The 22,182-nt window shown below is 41.0% G+C and overlaps 1 protein-coding gene across 52 annotated transcripts in view, besides 1 other annotated feature; it reads left to right on the top strand.

Moving 5' to 3' along the window:
* Positions 1-22,182, top strand: part of SLC38A1 (solute carrier family 38 member 1) — an 85,981-nt gene that overhangs the window by 825 nt on the left and 62,974 nt on the right. For 11 of the 52 annotated variants that reach the window (XM_047429588.1, NM_001278387.2, XM_047429593.1 and 8 more), the window contains exon 2: positions 13,283-13,405. The exons of 13 other annotated variants lie outside the window; for them this stretch is intronic. The gene's annotated coding sequence lies outside the window, so the exon portion shown is untranslated. Of the gene's footprint in view, positions 1-231; positions 995-1,702; positions 1,774-11,449; positions 11,528-13,282; positions 15,562-22,182 lie in introns of those variants that run through there. 28 more of the 52 variants (XM_047429591.1, XM_047429592.1, XM_047429595.1 and 25 more) reach the window with 8 other exon arrangements.
* Positions 702-1,685: an enhancer, noted in NCBI's record as "H3K27ac hESC enhancer chr12:46660317-46661300 (GRCh37/hg19 assembly coordinates)". NCBI's record gives its function as "activates a minimal SCP1, AML or CMV promoter by ChIP-STARR-seq in primed H9 embryonic stem cells {active_cell/tissue: H9 hESC(primed)}" and the evidence as "EXISTENCE:reporter gene assay evidence [ECO:0000049][PMID:30033119]".

Here is a 22,182-nt window from a genome sequence, read left to right as displayed (position 1 = left end):
GGTACCAGATCTGGTTCCATTTTTACGAGAGCCAGGAACCACGCACGTCTGGAGGGAGAGCGCAGCTGACCCGAGGGCGCGACCGTGTTCTGGGAGTGTTTGAATCCCCGGCCTTTGGTGAAAATTTCCTGTGTCCGCAAGGCCCAGAGGAGATCGTGTGATGTCCGGGGGGTGCTGCGTGCGGCCGGCTGGGTAGCGGCCGCGGACCACCACTAAACCGGGGCATGTTTGCCGTCCTTCCTGGTGCTCTGCCCCTCTGTAACGCGGGGAAGTAGGAGGGCGCGGGGAGAAATTACTAAAGGATGCTTGCAGTGACTCACTGTCCTTTCCTGCCCTGAAGAGGATTTTCTAAAATGCAGAGGGTGGCAGGGGACAGAGGTAGTGTTTTTTCGAGAGCCGGGATGTGCTGGAGCCAGCGAACAAAAGGCCACCTCTTGCGCGGTCTTGGGCGCAGACTGCTCTCGCTTCCAGTCCCACCTCCTCCCCAACCCCCGGCACCTAGTTCGCGTCCCTAAACGTTGCCGCAGAGGCCTTTAAACGCGTGGGTCGGTGCCGGGAGGAGAGCGCATCTTCGCCCTTGTGCGAGCCCCTTGCCCCCTAAATTATCCACCTCCTGGCGCATGGGGCTCCCCAGCACCCACTGGGACCCAGTAGGTTACCCGGCTGCCTGGGCACCGTTTGCCTGCCAAATCGCCCGCCTGAGGTTTGTGCTGAACTGTAGTTAGAGAAGGCACAAGTGCATATGGCAGCAAAAGGAATTTCGCGGTACCCGCGTCACGCCGCTCCCAGTGCCTTTCACAGGCTGCCTTGGGCTGGGGAAGGTGGTGCTACAATTCAGAGTCCTTTGTCTTGCTCTGCGGCGCGGACCCGGGGTTTGTACAAACCCTCGTTCTCTGTTAGAAACCTAACTGCCGCCAGGATCACGTACTTTCTCGGACGAATCCGCGGTGATGTGTGTAGCAAAAGTGAAAAAAGACGCCTCTGCTAGAAAACGGTATTTATTTGCGTTTGGAAGGGGTTTTGACCTCTCTGCAGTGGGTTTTTACATTTTTCAATATAAGGGGGAGGAGGAAAATAAATTTATGGTTTGCAGAATGCAGGGCCCAGCGAGGGTGTAATTTGTCACCTTGATAAAAGAAACTGTGCAGCAACTCGTGCTTTTTCTGACGTCAGAAGGACAACGGAAATAAAACCTGAGCTCGGTGCATGGCTGGCCTCGTTGTCAAATGTCTCATGCCAATTTGGTACTCCCGAAATCTTGCAAAACAGCCAATTCCGGGGTACTGACCTGGTGTGGACCCCCTGGATTTTGGTTCGACCCCAGCCTCAAAATGGCCTTTCTCTTGAGAGTCACTCGATTTCTCAGTATGTCGCTGTAAGCAATTGGAAACTGGAATAGTTTGGTTTGAGGTCTTAATCTTGAGGTTTATTCGCTTTTTAAAAAAATGTGGCCAATAAACATTTTCTACAGAGGGCTTACTGTGCGACTGGCAGCAACTAACAAGATTTGTTTCACCTTCTATGAAGCTTCCGTTCTCAGGGGGAAATAGACTATATAAATGTAGGCATATACATTTCAGGTATTCTTAGTGCAATGAAGAAATAAAACAGGATCATGTGATGGGGGAGGATGCTTGAAATAGAGTGACTCACCGGGAGGGGCGGTGTGAGGGTATAACATTTGTCCTCAGACCCGAATGATGAAAAGGGATCAGCTATTTCCATAATTGAGGGAAGAAGGCCAGCGGAAGGAACAGGAAGAAGGAACAGCAAGTACTTATTGCACTCTTCTTTGACTGTAATATAATTGAACAGATAGATGAATAGATTTTAAAGGTGTTTTGGAGCTTTAAACCTATATGTATGTTGTTTATGTATATTTTTTATGATGCTTCATGAATTAAGGCCATTTAATGAAAGGAGCACCATGTTTCTGATATCTGACTATTGCTACTCTTTTCTTTACTCTGGGTGATGCTTGTGGACAAAAACCGATTTTACTCATTGTTCCTCTAATGTCCAGCACATAGTACCTGCTTAATAAATACTTGTTGGATCGAGACCTTGAGACCTTGATCAGGCCATCTTGTTCATCTCTTTGTGATATTATTGGCCATCCCTTCCGTTCTATATCTCATCTGTTCCCCTTCTCCTAAGTTTGAAAATGAGAGTCTTTTTCTTCTCTGCTTCTCCTTCTCGTACTGCCCTTCCCACTTTGAGCAGTGACCAGGCCCTTGAAAATACCCCTCACACTTGTCCTCTTGTCTCCATTTCCACTGCCCAAGTTCAGGTCCCTGTCACCTTACCTAGACTTGGAGACATATGAAACAGATATAGAGGTGCCTTGAACAACCTAGGGGCAGTGGGAGTGGGCGGTGGAGAAAAATGCAAGCACAACATATGGTTAAGAGTGAAACAGCCAGTTACTGAGGTGGAACAGCTTTCCTGTTGGTCTCTCCTCCATATCAAGTTATGCTCCCCTAATTAAATCTCCATTCTTTCATGAGGTTTATATTTCTAAAATTCAGTTCACATTTTGTTAAAGGACCTTGCTTTTAAAAACCTCTGAGGGTTTCCATTGCACACAAATACAGTCTAAATTCCTTAGCCATACACTTAGGACCCTTCACAATCTGCCTTCTCATCTCTTTCCAATTTTTTCTCTTGATATTTTCTTTCTCACAGTTCACCCTATTCCCTCCCTATCACTTTTCTGCTTCAATATCTGTGTGGATTGGATTCCAGTCCAGAATGCCTACTGAAATCCTGTGTACTTGTGATGGCCTATCCCTGATGCCACTTTTCCACCTCTTGGGAGAAGTGTTCACTGATCACCTCACTGGCATTTTCATAAGTATTTGTTTATCCTTCACATTTTGGACTGTTGTTACTCCAGGTGATGGAAGGTGGTGAATAGGGGCTTAGGCTCTGAGTCAAATATAAATATCAGGCCTCAGCTTACTCACCCAGGAATCTTGGGCAAGGTGTTTGGCATCTCTAAGCCTCAGTTTTTTCTTTTGCTAAATGGGAATGATGATGCTGGTGGTAGTGTTGGTGGTACCCACTTTACTGAGTGATGGTAAAGATTTAATGAAGATAATGAATGTGAAGTATTTGGTATAGTGTTAGCATTCCATATGTATTGAATTAAACATATCTACCAGAGGAGGGAGAGAAAGTTGATCAGTAAAGTTCCCTTTACCTCTGAAATTCTGTGACTATGTAATCTTTTAAAAATACTTTTCTGAAAATATATCTTGATGGAAACTACCTGGATCTTTTTAGTCTCTGGGAGAATATACATCTATGAAAGGTGGTGAGGAGGTAGGAGAAGTATGTGCACAGAAGTACTTTGAAGAATGTGTGACAGACTTCGAAAAAGACATCTTGTATGCAAAGGCACACAGAGTAATATAATGGACTGTGGAGACTCAGAAGCCAGAGGTTGGAAGGGAGGATGCCAGATAAAAAGCTACAGATTGGGTACAATGTGTACTACTCAGATGACAAGTGCACTAAAGTCTCAGATTTCATCACTTTCAATTCATTTATATAACCACCAAAAATCACTGATACCCCAAAATCTATTGAAATAAAAAAATTTTAAGTAAAATTAAAAGATTAACTTCAATAACCTAAAAAAAGACACTGACCCTAGATTTAAAATAAGATTTTAAATTTAAAAATATTGTTGTACTTATTTCTGAAAATTGATCACATATTTGTTTTCTAGTGATAACCTTACTAATAACAGAGGAGTTCCCCTAACCATGTTACCTTCCCAATCACTGAATTCCTCTACTATTAGTAAGTAACTCTGTTTCAAGTGAGGTTACAATGTGTCTTTGGCAATAACTAGCTGGGTACCCTTGAGCAACTCATTTCACATTTTTATGCCTCATTTTCTCATCTGTCCAATGCTAATAATAGTATCAGTGCTGCGTACCTCAGAGTTGTGAAGATACAATGAGAGCAGAGCTGAGAAAGTCCTTGAACAAGTTTAAAAAAACTATTCAAGATGATAGTCATCTGGCATTAAGCATGCTGCTAATCTTCAGGGTCAGGTGATGGTTTTAGATTAGTGAGTCTCAGAGCAGACTTCACATTAGACTCATCTAGGGTGTTTTAAAAGCTGTCAGTGCCAAGACTTCAACTCCAGAGATTCAGATTTAGTTGGCCTGGGATGGAGCCCAAATATGGGAGCTTAGAAAATATCAGGGGTGATTTTGATATGCATTGGTTTAGATTTAAAGCAAGGAAAACAAAACAAACATCAGAAATTAAATGAGGACCTCCATATGTTGCTTGACAAAGTCTTAGTCTTAGTAGTGTGAAATTATGAGCTTGACTGACTTTTCCCCCTGATTTTACTAAACCAACCATTTGTTGACATCATGGAGCCACAGCCTCAGGTTACAGTTTATAACCTGAATTTTCCCAGGCATAGACGCCTGTCCAGTGATACAGCCAGAGCCACATGAAGATTTAATGTGTAGATCTCAGTTTCCATCTCTTAGGAATGGCGAAGGTTGGAAAAGAAAGCGACAATGGAAAGGAAAAAGAAAGGGATAGGCTATGGACCAAGGTATAGGAGAAAGAGGCTCTGAGCAGGAGACAGACAGGTCAGAGCACAGAGAAAACACTGTGTTTAATTTATTGAACCGGTTTTGTTTAGGTTGCAAACTGGTGGCTAGAGAGCCAAATTAAGCTTGTGGGCATATTTTATGTGACTTACGCTTTCTTTTAAAATTATTTGAAATTAGTTGCCAACTCTTAAATATCAGAATTTCACTTAGAATTTTGATTTCTGGCATTTATTGAAAAACATAAAAATAAAAAGACCAGGCTCATTCCTGCCACTAGTTGGAGGGAAATAGATGGGACATGTGTTCTCTAGTTCCTTATGCCCAGTCTGCTTTGCCCATTTATCTTACCTACCTGAGCACTAGCTTCTTTTGTTTTAACTTTTATTCTCAATCTGGGGATCTTAACATTGGCTGCACATAAGAATGCTCTCCTCTGGAGAGCGTTTAAAATAACCATGCTTGGATCCTGTCCTATACCAATTAAGTCAGAGACTGTTGTGTGTGTAGTGTCCCCTTATCACTTTTATTTTTTTAAAGCTCCCCAGTTTGTTCCAATGTCCTGTTAGAACTGAGGCCTATTGGCCTACAAAGGCAACTATTCAAGAGATTTGTCTACAAGTCCACCTTCTTATCTTTGGAAGTGATTCATTAAGAAATAGTGTATAGAATCATTAATTCAGAGAACTGGGAGAGGTCTTTGAGAGAGCAGCCATTAATCCAATCTTCTTATTTTAAGGTGAGGAGACAGAGACCCAGAGAGGAGAAAGGAATTGTTCTGAGACTGTAACCATCATCTGGTATTGAATTATATAGTGTCTTTTATTACATTTTCTCTTTTCAAATAAAAGTCTATTTTTAAGATTTCTTTTTATAAATGATCCTCTTTATATGCAGCACTTTGTGATGCTTTAAAGTTCTTATTATTTCTGTTTTTCCTTGAGTATTTTGTTAGGAGTCATAACTTAGCTAGGGCTTAAAAACAAACACACAAAACTGTATCCATCTTTTTTAGTACAATAGCAATCCTTGATCAGAAATATCTTTAGAACAAAAAACATATATGCAAATAAAGAGATTTTTCTCAAGGGCTGAAATATTCCAGGCTGTTTTCAACTGCATGAGTTTTTAGTAATTATTTAAATCCATTAATTTTCAATTGACAAGAAATATTTTTAATTTTGTTGGTATTCACACTACTCATATACACTCACTGTTCTAATTAATTAAGATTCAATTCTTTTGGTGTTTTTTTTTTAAATGTAATATACAGTCTGTCCTCCTATATCCAGTTATAGGTTGACTTCATTAACTTTAGAGTTTATTTTTTCTGTCTTGAATAAATTGGAATTGTTTCAAAATTTCTGATATAGATAGGTTAGTTACCAACATCATAAGCTGGTCATGTTGATAACAGACATTTAAAAGATCATATGGGAACTTGAAGACAAGAGGAATTATGGAACGATTAAGAGCAGGTTTTGGGATCCTGTTAAGATAGGATGCACTGGGCAATTTGTCCAAGGAAGTTAGCGGTTCATCTCCATGCCCCACAAAGAGGGGGTCCATACTCATCCCCTGTGAGCTTCTGTAACACAGGGCTTCTTGCCCTTCACACTACTGGCATTTGGGGCCAGACAGCTCTTTGTTGTGTGTGGCTGTCCTGTGCATTGTATGATGTTTACCAGCATCCCTGGTCTTTCTCAACTAGATGCCTGCAGCACCCCCTCACTTACTGCAACCCAAAATGTCTCCAGGCATTGCCAAATACCTCCTGGGGGCAGGGAGAGGGACACAATTGTCCCCAGTTGAGAACCACTTCTTTAATACAACTCCTTCTCTGGACTTTTAGAAATCATGCCAAGAATTCTTAAACATTCCAAGCATAGTGGCTGGGACAGTAATGATAAATACCTTCCGTTTATATAGTTCTTTACAATACTAAATGCATTTTTACATAAATCCCACACGCCCAGATCAAATGTAAAGGAGATCAGGTGGTAAACTTAATGAAAACTATGAGGTAGGGCTATCCACATTGCTTCATGTTCCCATTTTTGTTTTGTTTTCCATGGGAAGATGGTGTTTGTGATGCTCACTGAATATATTGTCTGCAGGCAGGTGATCATAGCTTTCTTTTTAAATTTAGTCCTCATTTTTATTGTTAACATGTGTTTACTGTCACCATATACTAGACCTTTGAGATGTATGGTCCTTGTCCCCAAGGAATTGAAATTGTAAATAAAAAGATTACTGAAATATGAGCCCCCTTGCTATAAGCCAGTGAGTAATCTACACGAAACTGCTGTAAGAATTCATCACAGGTAAACAGTCAAGCAGGTTCTCAACTGGAACAATTATGTCCCTCTCCCTGCCCCCAGGAGGTATTTGGCAATGCCTGCGTTGGTCATTGGAGAAAGGCATCACAGAAGAGTTGGCTTGAATTTTTTAAAAAAGCAAGCAAGCTGGGCTTTGAAAGAAAGGTCATACTTAAGTTAGCATAGGCTTCATGGGAAGGTGGAGAGGGTGTGTCCAGGATCAGGGGGATGGTGTGAACAAAGCAGAAAACTGCATAAGAGTAGACCCATTGCAGGAATGGAAAATTAGAAGGAATATAGTGGGAGCATAAATTAAAGAGAAAGCTGTCTGAGGTTCTAGAGATTAGACCTCATCCTGTAGAGGGAACAGTTATGATTGGCAAGGCAGAAAGAGGAATGTGCAAGACTGTCTTTTCAGGAAGAATCTGCCTCTATAGGTGGGAGAGGGCAAGAAGCAGGAGGTAGCGTGGCGGAGAGTGACTGTGGCAAAGTTCAGGCTGTGAAACTGTAAGGAATAAGGGAAAGGAAAAGGATTTTGTGAAGGAATGTTGGCAGGACTTGGCAACTGATTAGATATGAGGTTGTATGAAAGCCATACTCAAGTTTCAAGTCTGAGTGACAAGGAGAAGGTGCATTATATCTTTAACAGAAATAGAATGCTGGCATGTGAGGTCAGGTGATGCGTTCTGCTTCAGGCATGTGGAATCTGAGGTAATGATAAACATCCTAATGGAGCAGTCCAGAAGGCAGCAGGAGTCTGAAAAGAATTTATGGAAATGTTTCTGAGAAGGAAAGAACCTGAGAGATAACCTCTCTTTCATGCCCTCTCATTTTACAGATGAAGAAACATGTGACATGTTAAGTGGCATGATCATGATCAAGTTGTATTTATGAGGGAGATCCTATTTCATAACGCAAAGGAATTCTAGTTTTATAAAGTGAAAAAGACTGGGAAGAAAGATCTGAAAGATGCCTTTGTAGAATGAAACTTGACACTACAGCCCTGAAGCCCTAAAAAGGAAAGAATTTGGAATATGTGGAGCAAGAAGAGTCGAGGCCCAAAGAGCTACTTCTACACAGAAAGTTGGGAGGAGGAGGGATCTGGCAGAGGAGACCAAGAAGGTCTTGGGAGGATGCAGTGTGGAGTTATTTGGGAGAAGTCAGAAAACAGGAACAATGGTCACAATAATTTACAAAACCCGGGCCAGACGCTGTTCTAAGTGCTGCACATGGACCAAGTCATGGAATCTTTATGACTGTATCAGATGGGTATTGCTTTAAGTCCATTTTACAGATGAGGAAACTAAGGCAAAGAGAAGTTAACCTTCTTTCCTGGGGCTACACAGCTTCTAAGTGGTGGAGCCAGAATTTCCTAATCAGGCATGATTTCAGGGGAGTGGTGGCAGGAGCAAGTAGTTTAGAGACTGCTAGCAGTAAAGAGAGGGGTGTGATGATAGTTCAAGGTTCTAGACAGAGTTATGTTCCAGATAAAGAGCTCTGAGGATGATGGATGTCAAGAAGGGAAGGCAGAGAGAGGAAGTAGAGAAACAAGGTCCTAGCAGAAGAGCCAGGACCTTAAGCACAGGTTAAACCATTAGTCTTGGGCAAGAAGAGAGTAAAACCACTTATTTTTCTGAGACCACTTACTAGCTTCCCAGGTTTTTCACTACCAAAGGCCATTTTTATTATTCCCCACCTTCCAAAAGCCCCAGATTTTCAAAGATTTTGATGATCGGCTTTAATTTTTTATTTTAATTAAAGTATAAATTATATGCAATGCAGTGTCCAGATATTAAGTATACTATTTAATGAGTTTTGAGTGTTGACTTTAATATATTAATTCATTTCCCATTTTTATTACTCAAAGGTATATAAAATTGCCAATCAAATTTAGGATTATCACATCAAGTTAATGAAGCCTTGCTAACAGTATGGATACCTCACCATTTAGTTAACCTGTTTAGCCTGTTTGAGGCCTTTTGAAATATAGATCCATGTTAGTTCTTAGATCCTTATCACTATCATCTATGAACCCTGAGGATCCAAGAACCCCAAGTGGGTAAACAGACACAGTCAGTTATGGGACTAGCTGGCCCGGAATTATAGAACCATTGTTGACCTTAGGCTTAACACTTTCTCCGCTTTAAAAATTATATGTATTTAAGGTGTGCAACGTGATGTTTTGGTATACATATGCGTGGTAAAATGGTTACTAGAGTCAAGAAAATTAATATATCCATCATCTCACGTGGTCACTTCTTTTTTGTGGCAAGAGCACCTAGAATCCACTCTTTTAGCAAAAATCCCATATATATAATACAATATTACAGGTTGAGCATCCCTAATCCAAAAATCCAAAACCCTGGCTGGGCACAGTGGCTCACGCCTGTAATCCCAGCACTTTGGGAGGTTGAGTTAGGTGGATCATCTAAGGTTAGGAGTTCAAGACCAGCCTGGCCAACATAGTGAAACCCCATCTCCACTGAAAATATAAAAATTAGCTGGGCATGGTGGCATGTGCCTGTAATTCCAGGTACTCGGGAGGCCGAAGCAGGAGATTCTCTTGAATCTGGGAGGCGGAGGTTGCAGTGAGCAGAGATCTCATCACTACACTCCAGCCTGGGTGACAGAGTGAGATTTCATCTCAATAAATAAATAAATAAACACATTTTAAAAAGTCCAAAACCCACAAAAGTCCAAAACTTAAAACTCTGAGCACTGACACGATGCCCAAGTAGAACATTTTACATCTAACCTCCTGTGATAGGTCACAGTCAAAATGCAGTGAAAACTTTGTCTTATGCACAAAATTATTTAAAATATTATGTAAAATTGCCTTTAGGGTATGTTTGTAAGGTGTATATGAAACAAATGAATTTCAAGTTTGCACTTGGGTCTCGTCCCCAGGATATCTCATAATATGTATGCAAATATTCCAAAATCCAAAAAATCAAAAATCTGAACTACTTCTGTCAGAGGCATGTGAACCAGAGCAACTCCATCTTAAATAGGAGCTGAGTAAAATGAGGCTGAGAGCCACTGAGCTGCGTTTCCAGATGGTTAAAGCATTCTAAGTCACAGAATGAGATAAGAGGTTAGCACAAAGTACAGGTTGTAAAGACCTTAATGATAAAACAGGTTGCAGTAAAGAAGATGGCTAAAACCCACCAAAACCAAGATGATGATGAGAGTGACCTCTGGTCGTCCTCACTGCTACACTCCCACCAGCACCATGACAGCTTACAAATGCCATGGCAATGTCAGGAACCCTATATGGTCTAAAAATGGGAAGCATGAATAATTCACCCCTTGTTTAGCAAATCATCAAGAAATAATCATAATCAGCAACCAGCAGCCCTCGAAGCTGCTCTGTCTATGGCGTAGCCATTTCGCTTTACTCTATGGACTCACCCTGAATTTTTTCTTGTGCGAGATCTAAGAACCCCATCTTCTGGGGTCTGGATTGGGACCCTTTTCCTGTAACATCTTTCTGGCAACCACGAAGGGGCTATAGTGCAGAAACCCGCAGTAAGTGTTGGGGTCTTGTAACATCTTTCTGGCGACTGTGGAAGCGACTATTGTGAGGAAACCCCTGATCCAAAGGCTAGCTTTGGGTAAGTGGTGGGGTCCTGTGACATCTTTCTGGCCACCGCAGAAGCAACTAGTGAGGAAACCCCCAACTCAAAAGCTAACTTTGAGTAAGTGGTGGGGTCTGGTAACATTTTTCTGCCAAACCCGGAAGGTACAATACCGAAGAAGCCTCCCAACCCAAAGGCAATAGATTGATCAGCCGACTTGGGGTAAGTGGTGGGGTACCTGGGTAAAGAATGGGATTGGGTTAGAGGCCCAACTTAGGAGAGTTAGAGTTTCTCCTAAGACAGAGAGGGTTAAAGCCTCCTCTTGATAAAAGACAAGGACACCCAAATGGGTTAGAGGCCCAAATTAGGAGTGTTAGAAATCCTTCCAAGATTTAGGGGGTTAGAAGTCCCTCTCAGTAAAGTCCTTCTCATAAAATCCCTCTTGGCTAAGAATGGGCTTGGTACTACAGCCTGTTAACTGCTATTCTCTTTGGATTAATCTGCCTGGCAGTCTCTGCTGATGGCTGTGGGTGACAGGATTAGGCATGTACAGAATCTTGGGACACGGAATGCTTTTTCCTCCCTAAAAGGGGAAACTTGAGAGCTGATGGGACTGCTGGAAAAGATCACTTCTTGACTGACAAGTGGCCGCCTGAACTTTTCAGTGGTGCTGCAATGGGTGGGTCTTTTTCTGGCCTCCCTGAGCATTTCGCCTTCTCCACCCTGCCACAGGCAATGCTTTTCTCTCTCTCCTTTCCCTTTATTATCTTTTCTATTACTCAGGGTGACCATCTTACCCAGACACCACATGTTGAAACTCTTGGTTGGAGGTTGGATTAACAATGATGGGGGCAAGTTTGAGCCTTGCCAGTTTGATATTGGGTGTTAAGCACAGTGGTAATGTCTATGTTTTGTCACACATATTTTGTTCTGGCCAGATGGAAAAAGATAATTTTCCTTTGTGTTGCAGCTTGGCCCCCAGGGCTGTGATGCAGCCAGCCAGGTCTCAGGGAGAGGGAACCCAGAAGCCTGGCATGCTGGCCAAAGGGTAAGAATTTCTTACCAGCCAGACTTCTGGTCTCTCTCTCTCTCTCTCTCTCTCTGTGTGTGTGTGTGTGTGTGTGTGCGCGCGCGCGCGCAAACTGGATGAGGTTTCCTTCCGGTCAGTCATGTCCTTGGGAGCTTGACCTTGCAACCACGTGGCAGTACTTTCTCTTGGTCTCTGCCATCACAATGGCAGCCCGGGTTCGGGGTTGAATTCCCAGCTTAAGGGATCATCCTTTGTCTTCTGTTTGTCTATGTATTTATATGTAGTATGTGTGTGTAATATAAAAGAATTTTAATTAATTGCTTTAATAATAATAAGCTTAAATCAAATATTTTGTCACATAAGTAAAAAGTGTAATGCCTTTTAGTTCATGTGACTTAAGTAATCTTTGGGAAATAAAAACAGTTTTAAAGATTACTGGTAAAATAAAGACATTTGGTCTAAATTATGCAGGTCAGATATTAAGTTTGCTAAATGCCTTAAGGTCATAAACTGCTGCTTTGACTTTTTTTTTTTTTTTTTTTTTGAGATAGAACCTCTCTCTGTTGCCCAGGCTGGAGTGCAGTGGCGTGATCTCGATTCACTGTAAGCTCTGCCTCCTAGGTTCACGCCATTCTCCTGCCTCAGCCTCCCAAGTAGCTGGACTACAGGCGCCTGCCACCATGCCCAGCTAATTTTTTGTATTTTTAGTAGAGACAGGGTTTCTTTCACCATGTTAGCCAGGATGGTCTTGATCTCCTGACCTTGTGATCCACCCGCCTCGGCCTCCCAAAGTGGTGGGATTACAGGCTTGAGCCACCACACCCAGCCCTTTGACTTTTGAAAATTGTTCAGTTTACCTACTTTGGCTACTTTGGAGCATTAGATTCTAGATAAGGCCAGGGACATGTGGAGTTAGCCACACCCCGTAGCTATGCTGGAAAAAGTCAGTCCTTATCTGCACTTCTGTGTGCTATCCTAGGCTGCACACCTAGTACATAATTAAAATCCCAAACTTACCAAGGTTTTCATCAAAAGTAAAAGAGTTAGCATTGTAACATATAATTAAGACTACTGAAAGAACAGTTCTACATGCAAAGTGTGTAAGAAAAGTGAAATGTGTTTTTGGTGAAAGATTATAAGAAGGTATGGGAATGTGGATTTTTCTTGCCCAAATTAAAGGATTAAAGAATTGTTTTCAGTTAGATAGAATAAAGCTGAAGGTTTAAGCAAGTTATGGAAAGTGTAAAAAACTAATCTTGTAAAAAAGGATTCTGTATGTGGACATTGGCTAAAACTAAAGGGGTATTATTCATTTTTTCCATAAGTTAGACATTGGAGTAAAAGCACAACAGGTTTTTCTTAGAGGAAAAACCTTCTCATGATCTGTATGTTATTAATAATTATAATTGTTACATAAAATTACTGTGTGCACAGAGGTAACCCAAATTTCCTAGTCAATCGTGGCTTTAATAGTGGCTGTCCTAAAAGATTTTGTTATCCACAGACAATCGTTTTCTTGTTTTAATCCTCTTTAAAAGGTGGTTTTATAATCAACAATAGGACTTTGACAGATGTTCTAAAATGCAAGCTTCTGATAACTTTGGAAATTGTGACATTAGAATAGAAGAAAAACTTTCAGAACTCTCACAGAGAGGTGAAATGTTCATGAATATCAAGAACAGGGGTTAACTAAATTAACCGAAACAATGGAAGACTAAAGTAATCTTTTTGACTTTGCTTAAAATGTTGCTGACCCTTTGTTTTGTTTTTCAGAGTCAAGGAAACTTTTGAGCTATTTACAGCTTGTAGCAATTATGTAAAGTATACTCCTCTGAACAAAATTTGGAGCATGTTTGTTTCTCTCTACCTGATTTCCCCAGAATCTGGAAACTATCTGTGAGTATTCTCAACTTTTAGCAATATAGTTATTTGCATAAGTGCAATAAGAATCTGTTTTCTTTTGTAACAGGACACAATTGGAGAAACTGGTTATTTTACCAAGGCTTTGACTGGAACAGCATGCTTTCCTTTAAGGAATCAAACCTGACTTGTAAAGCCAAGCAAATCCCTTTGGGGAATTGGCCTCATACTTGCCTACACAGACCTCAAAAGGAGAGAAATTTACCCAACTCATAGGTATTTGAGGGTTCAAACTCATTGCAAGGCTTGGTTCTAAAAAGTCTTATCTGAGATTCCTTCTATGGAGCAGAGTTCCATCAAAGCGAAATTACAAAAGGCTTATGTGAAAAATAATTATTCTTGCTGCACTTTATACAAAAAATCAGGCCAAGTATAATAAAGCAAATCAGTGTTACTATGATTTGTCTTTAGTAAAAAATGGGAAACTGGAGAGAGAAACTGTGTTTCAAGAATTATGCTACACTTGTTATTAAATTCTAGTCTCATCAGTTGCTTTTAAGTTAGTTGCTGCAATTTATTCCTGTGAACCAACCAGTGATCTCTAGCTGCTGCTCAGAAGAAACAAGAGGGATGAGTAATGTAAAAATCTGGATCAATATTCCAATTCTGGACATATTGGAATCATCTAGCAATGTCATATCAGCTTGGTTCCAACAGTTGCCCTTATAATTTGGAACTTCTTATAATTTAGTTTACTTGAGATAATTTTTACTTATTTTGCTTTACTCTTGTGGAATACATTGCTATGGCACTCTGTATAGGCATAAGGATAAGCTTACTCAATGTTTTCTTAAATTGAACACTTATTCATCTTCCAAATATTACTTTTTGTCAGAACTTAAGAGTCATAAATGTCCCTCACCATACTGATGCTTTCTGACTGAGCGCGTCTCTACCCTGAACACAAGATATTCTCATAGTTAGGTAGGAATACCATCACCCCTATTCAGCCTGAAGAAGTTACTAAAGATGGATTTTCATCCCTGTGCAGCCCTTAGGATTAAGGGTTCTCTTATAAAAGGGAGGGGGGAAATGTCAGAGGCATGTGAACCAGAGCAACTCCATTTTAAATAGGAGCTGAGTAAAATGAGGCTGAGAGCCACTGAGCTGCATTTCCAGATGGTTAAAGCATTCTAAGTCACAGAATGAGATAGGAGGTTAGCACAAAGTACAGGTCATAAAGACCTTAATGATAAAACAGGTTGCAGTAAAGAAGCTGGCTAAAACCCACCAAAACCAAGATGGTGATGAGAGTGACCTCTGGTCGTCCTCACTGCTACACTCTCACCAGTGCCATGACAGTTTACAAATGCCATGGCAACATCTGGAAGTTGCCCTATATGGTCTAAAAAGGGGAGGCATGAATAATCCACTTTGTTTAGCATATCATCAACAAATAACCATAAAAATGGGCAACCAGCAGCCCTTGGGGCCGCTCTGTCTGTGGAGTAGCCATTCTTTTATTCCTTTACTTTCTTAATAATCTTGCTTCTGCTTTGCACCTTGGGCTTGCCCTGAATTCTTTCTTTCCTGAGATCCAAGAACCCTCTTTTGGGGTCCAGATCAGGACCCCTTTCTTGTAACACTTCTGGTCCCAAACATTTTTGATAAGAAATACTCAAACTGTATTAACTACAGTCCTCATGTTGTACATTTGCTCCCTAGACTTATTCATCCTACACATCTGCAACTTCATATCCTTTGACCTACATCTCCACATTTCCTCCCCAAACTCTTTATAACAACTGTTTTATTCTCTATGTCTGTGTATCAGACTTTTTTTTTTTTTTTTTCAAAAAAAGATACCATGTATACATGAGATCATGCAGTATTTTTCTTTCTGTTTCTGGATTGTTTTACTTACCATTATGTCCTCCAGATTCATCCAGGTTGTGGCAAATGAGAGGATCCCCTTCTTTTTTAAGGTTGAATAACATTTTATTTTATATGTGCCTGTGTTTCTTATCCATTCACATCCATGGGCACTTAGATTGTTTCCATATCTTGGCTATTGTGAATAATGCTGCAACGAACATAGAAAGAACATTTCTATGTGCATAGAAAAACCATGGAAGGCCATACAACAATTATATATATATATGAGTGATCATCTCTGCTTGCTGAGATAACAGGTGAACTTTTTTCTTTTTGGTTGTTTTATTCCATTTGAAAAATTGTATTTTCTAACATTTATACCAAATCTATATTAATTAATTCATTCATGTAATTATTTTTAAATAAATTAATTAGCATTTATTTATTAATAAAGAATGAATATATATATTTTATTATACTTCTAGGGTATATATATTATAGTTCTAGGGTACATGTGCACAACGTGCAGGTTTGTTACATATATATACATGTGCCATGTTGGTTTGCTGCACCCATTAATTCGTCATTTACATTGGGTATTTCTCGTAATGCTATCCCTCCCCCAGGCCCCCACCCTGTGACAGGCCCCGGTGTGTGATGTTCCCCTCCCTGTGTCCAACTGTTCTCATTGTTCAATGCCACCTATGAGTGAGAACATGCAGTGTTTGATTTTCTGTCCTTGTGAGAGTTTGCTGAGAATGATGGTTTCCAGCTTCATTCATGTCCCTTCAAAGGACATGAACTCATCCTTTTTTATGGCTGCATAGTATTCCATGGTGTATATGTGCCACATTTTCTTAATCCAGTCTATCATCGATGGACATTTGGGTTGGTTCCAAGTGTTTCCTATTGTGAATAGTGCCACAATAAACATACGTGTGCATGTGTCTTTATAGTAGCAAGATTTATAATCCTTTGGGTATATACCCAGTAATGGGATTGCTGGGTCAAATGGTATTTCTGGTTCTAGATCCTTGAGGAATTGCCACACTGTCTTCCACAATGGTTGAACTAATTTACACTCCCACCAAGAGTGTAAAAGCATTCCTATTTCTCCACATCCTCTCCAGCCTCTGTTGTTTCCTGACTTTTTAAATGACCGCCATTCTAACTGGAGTGAGATGGTATCTCATTGTGGTTTTGATTTGCATTTCTCTGATGACCAGTGATAATGAGCATTTTTTCCATGTGTCTGTTGGCTCCATAAATGTCTTTTTTGAGAAGTGTCTGTTCATATCCTTTGCCCACTCTTTGCTGGGGTTGTTTGTTTTTTTCTTGAAAATTTATTTAAGTTCTTTGTAGATTCTGGATATGAGCCCTTTGTCAGATGGGTAGATTTTCTCCCATTCTGTAGGTTGCCTGTTCACTCTGATGGTAGTTTCTTTTGCTGTGCTGAAGCTCTTTAGTTTAATTAGATCCCATTTGTCAATTTTGGCTTTTGTTGCCATTGCTTTTGGTGTTTTAGTCATGAAGTCCTTGCCCATGCCTATGTCCTGAATGGTATTACCTAGGCTTTCTTCTAGGGTTTTTATGGTTTCAGGTCTAACACTTAGGTCTTTAATCCATCTTGAATTAATTTTTGTATAAGGTGTCAAGAAGGGATCCAGTTTCAGCTTTCTACACATGGCTAGTCAGTTTTCCCAGCACCATTTATTAAATAGTGAATCCTTTCCCCATTTCTTGCTTTTGTCAGGTTTGTCAAAGATCAGATGGTTGTAGATGTGTAGTGTTAATTCTGAGGCCTCTGTTCTGTTCCATTGGTCCATATATCTGTTTTGGTACCAGTACCATGCTGTTTTGATTACTGTAGCCTTGTAGCATAGTTTGAAGTCAGGTAGCATGATGCCTCCAGCTTTGTTCTTTTTGCTTAAGATTGTCTTGGCAATGTGGGCTCTTTTTTGGTTCCATATGAACTTTAAAGTAGTTTTTTTTCCAATTCTGTGAAGAAAGTCATTGGTAGCTTGATGAGGATGGCATTGAATCTATACATTACCTTGGGCAGTATGGCCATTTACACAATATCAATTCTTCCTATCCATGAGCATGGAATGTTAGTCCATTTGTTTGTGTCCTCTTTTATTTCGTTGAGCAGTAGTTTGTAGTTCTCCTTGAAGAGGTCCTTCACATCCCTTGTAAGTTGGATTCCTAGGTATTTTATTCTCTTTGTAGCAATTGTGAATGGGAGTTCACTCATGATTTGGCTCTCTGTTTGTCTGTCTGTTATTGGTTTATAGGAATGGTTGTGATTTTTGCACATTGATTTTGTATCCTGATACTTTGCTGAAGTTGCTTATCAGCTTAAGGAGATTTTGGGCTAAGATGAAGGGGTTTTCTAAATATACAATCATGTCATCTGCAAATAGGGACAGTTTGACTTTGTCTTTTCCTAATTGAATACACTTTATTTCTTTCTCTTGCCTGATTGCCCTGGCCAGAACTTCCAACACTGTGTTGAATAGGAGTGGTAAGAGCGGGCATCCCTGTCTTGTGCCAGTTTTCAAAGGGAATGCTTCCAGTTTGTGCCCATTTGGTATGATATTGGCTGTGGGTTTGTCATAAATAGCTCTTGTTATTTTGAGAAACGTTCCATCAATACCCAGTTGATGGAGAGTTTTTAGCCTGAAGCGCTGTTGAATTTTGTCGAAGGCCTTTTCTGCATCTATTGAGATAATCATGTGGTTTTTGTGGTTGGTTCTGTTTATGTGATGGATTAGGTTTATTGATTTGCGTATGTTGAACCAACCTTGCATCCCAGAGATGAAGTCAATTTGATTGTGGTGGATAAGGCTTTTGATGTGCTCCTGGATTTTATTTGCCAGTATTTTATTGAGGATTTTCACATCAATGTTCATCAGGGATATTGGCCTAAAATTCTCTTTTTTTGTTGTGTGTCTACCAGGCTTTGGTATCAGATGATGAGGGCCTCATAAAATGAGTTAGGGAGGATTCCCTCTTTTTCCATTAATTAGAATAGTTTCAGGAGGAATGGTACCAGCTCCTCTTTGTACCTCTGGTAGAGTTCGTCTGTGAATCTGTCTGGTCCTGGACTTCTTTTACTTGGTAGGCTATTAATTATTGCCTCAATTTCACAGCCTGTTATTGGTCTATTCAGAGATTCCACTTCTTCCTGGTTTAGTGTTGAGAGGGTGTATGTGCCCAGGAATTCAGCCATTTTTCCTAGATTTTTCTGGTTTATCTGTGTAGAGGTGTTTATAGTATTCTCTGATGGTAGTTTGTATTTCTGTGGGATTGGTGGTGATATCCCCTTTATCATTTTTTATTGCATCTATTTGATTCTTCTCTCTTTTCTTCTTTATTAGTCTTGCTAGTGGTCTATCAATTGTGATGATCTTTTCAAAAAACCAGCTCCAGGATTCATTGATTTTTTGAAGGGTTTTTTTGTATCTCTATCTCCTTCAATTCTGCTCCGATCTTAGTTATTTCTTACCTTCTGCTAGCTTTTGAATTTGTTTGCTTTTGCTTCTCTAGTTCCTCTAATTGTGATGTTAGGGTGTTGTTTCTAGCTCTTTCCTGCTTTCTCTTGTGGGCATTTAGTGCTATAAATTTCCCTCTACACACTGGTTTAAATGTGTCCCAGAGATTCTGGTATGATGTGTCTTTGTTCTCATTGGCTTCAAAGAACATATTTATTTGTGCCTTCATTTTGTTATTTACCCAGTAGTCATTCAGGAGCAGGTTGCTCAGTTTCCATGTAGTTGTGCGGTTTTGAGTGAGTTTCTTTTTTTTTTTTTTTTTTTTGAGGCGGAGTCTCACTCTATCACCCTGTCTGGAGTGCAGTGGCACGATCTTGGCTCACTGCAAACTCTGCCTCCCAGGTTCAAGCGATTCTCCTGCCTGAGCCTCCCAAGTAGCTGGGACTACAGGCACCCGCCACCGCACCTGGTTAATTTTTTGTATTTTTAGTAGAGACGGGGTTTCAATGTGTTAGCCAGGATGGTCTTGATCTCCTGAACTCGTGATCTGCCCGCCTCGGCCTCCCAAAGTGCTGAGATTACAGGCGTGAGCCATCGCACCTGGCCTTGAGTGAGTTTCTGAATCCTGAGTTCTAATTTGATTGCACTGTGGTCTGAGAGACAGTTTGTTGTGATTTCCGTTCTTTTACATTTGCTGAGGAGTGCTTTACTTCCAACTATGTGGTCAGTTTTGGAATAAGTGCGATGTAGTGCTGAGAAGAATGTATATTTTGTTGATTTGGGGTGGAGAGTTCTGTAGATATCTATTAGGTCCACTTGGTGCAAAGATGAGTTCAAGTCTTGGATATCCTTGTTAACCTTCTGTCTCGTTGATCTGTCTAATGGGTGTTAAAGCCTCCCATTATTATTGTGTGGGAGTCTAAGTCTCTTTGCAGGTCTCTAAGGACTTGCTTTATGAGTCTGGGTGCTCCTGTATTGGGTGCATATATATTTAGGATAGTTAGCTCTTCTTGTTGAATTGATCCCTTTACCATTATGGCCTTCTTTGTCTCTTTTGATCTTTGTTCATTTAAAGTCTGTTTTATCAGAGACTAGGATTGCAACCCCTACTTTTTTTTGCTTTCCATTTGCTTGGTAGATCTTCCTCCATCCCTATATTTTGAGCTTATGTGTGTCTTTGCACGTGAGATGGGTCTCTTGAATACAGCACAATTACGGGTCTTGAGTCTTTATCCAATTTGCCAGTCTGTGTCTTTTAATTGGGGCATTTAGCCCATTTACATGTAAGGTTAATATTGTTATGTGTGAGTTTGATCCTGTCATTATGATGTTAGTTGGTTATTTTGCTCGTTAATTGATGTAGTTTCTTCACAGCATCGATGGTCTTTACAATTTGGCATGTTTTTGCAGTGGCTGGTACTGGTTGTTCCTTTCCATGTTTAGTGCTTCCTTCAGGAGCTCTTGTATGGCAGGCCTGGTGGTGACAAAATCTCTCAGCATTTGCTTGTCTGTAAAGGATTTTATTTCTCCTTCACTTATGAAGCTTAGTTTCGCTGGATATGAAATTCTGGGTTGAAAATTATTTTCTTTCAGAATGTTGAATGTTGGCCCCCACTCTCTTCTGGCTTGTAGAGTTTCTGCTGAGAGATCTGCTGTTAGTCTGATGGGCTTCCCTTTGTGGGTAACCCGACCTTTCTCTCTGGCTGCCCTTAACATTTTTGCCTTCATTTCAACTTTGGTGAATCTGACAATTATGTGTCTTGGAGTTGCTCTTCTTGAAGACTATCTTTGTGGTGTTCTCTGTATTTCCTAAATTTGAGTGTTGGCCTGCCATGCTAGGTTGTGGAAGTTCTCCTGAACAATATCCTGAAGAGTGTTTTCTAACTTTGTTTCATTTTCCCCATCACTTTCACGTACACCAGTCAAACGTAGATTTGGTCTCTTCACATAGTCCCATATTTCTTGGAGGCTTTGTTCATTTCTTTTTCCTGTTTTTCCTCTAAACTTCTCTTCTCACTTTATTTCATTAATTTGATCTTCAATCACTGATACCCTTTCTTCCACTTGATCGAATTGGCTGTTGAAGCTTGTGCATACATCACATAGTTCTCGTGCCATGGTTTTCAGCTCCATCAGGTCATTTGTGGTCTTCTCTACACTGTTTATTTTAGTTAGCCATTCATCTAATGTTTTTTCAAGGTTTTTAGCTTCCTTGTGATGGGATAGAACATCCTCCTTTAGCTTGGAGAAGTTTGTTATTACCGACCTTCTGAAGCCTACTTTGGCCAACTTGTCAAACTCATTCTCCGTCCATCTTTGTTCCATTGCTGGCGAGGAGTAGCCATCCTTTGGAGGAGAAGAGGCGCTCTGGTTTTTAGAATTTTCAGCTTTTCTCCTCCATTTTTTCCCCATCTTTGTGGTTTTATCTACCTTTGGTCTTTGATGTTGGTGACCTACAGATGGGGTTTTGGTGTGGATGTCCTTTTTGTTGATGTTGATGCTATTCCCCTCTGTTTATTAGTTTTCCTTTTAACAGTCAGGTCCCTCAGCTGCAGGTCTGTTGGAATTTGCTGGAGGTTCTTTCCAGACCCTGTTTGCCCAGGTATCACCAGTGGAGGCTGCAGAACAGCAAATATTGCAGAACAGCAAATATTGCTGCCTGATCCTTCCTCTGGAAGCTTTGTCCAAGAGGGGCTCCTGCTTGTATGAGGTGTCAGTCAGCCCCTACTAGGAGGTGTCTCCCAGTTAGGCTAAACGGGGGTCAGGGACCCACTTGAGGAGGCAGTCTGTCTGTTCTCAGAGCTCAAACATCATGCTGGGAGAACCACTGCTCCCTTCAGAGCTGTCAGACAGGTACGTTTAAGTCTGCAGAAGTTTCTGCTGCCTTTTCTTCAGCTATGCTCTGCCCCCAGAGGTGGGGTCTATAGAGACAGCAAGCCTTGCTCCGCTGTGGTGGGCTCCACCCAGTTCGAGCTTCCTTGGCTGCTTTGTTTATCTATTCAAGCCTCAGAAATGGTGGACACCCCTTCCGCTGCCAGGTTGCTGCCTGGCAAGTCAATCTCAGACTGCTGCACTAGCAGCGAGCAAGGTTCTGTGGGCATGGGACCTGCCGATCCAGGCGCAGGATACAATCTCCTGGTTTGCTGTTTGCTAAGACCTTTGGAAAAACGCAGTATTTGAGTGGGAATGTCCTGTTTTTCCATGTACAGTCTGTCACGGCTTCCCTTGGCCTGACGAGGGAAATTCCCAGACCCCTTGCACTTCCTGAGTGAGGCAACACCCCGCCCTGCTTCGCCTCACCCTCTGTGGGCTGTACCCACTGTCCAACCAGTCCCAATGAGATGAACCAGGTACCTCAGTTGGAAGTGCAGAAATCACCTGTCTTCTGCTTTGTTCACGCTGGGAGCTGCAGAAGGGAGCTGTTCCTATTTGGCCCTCTTTGAA

Source organism: Homo sapiens, chromosome 12, assembly GCF_000001405.40.
Source record: "Homo sapiens chromosome 12, GRCh38.p14 Primary Assembly".
Taxonomy (NCBI): Eukaryota; Metazoa; Chordata; class Mammalia; order Primates; family Hominidae; genus Homo; species Homo sapiens.
Note: the sequence above shows the minus strand (reverse complement) of the source record. Positions and strands in the feature narration are given on the sequence as shown.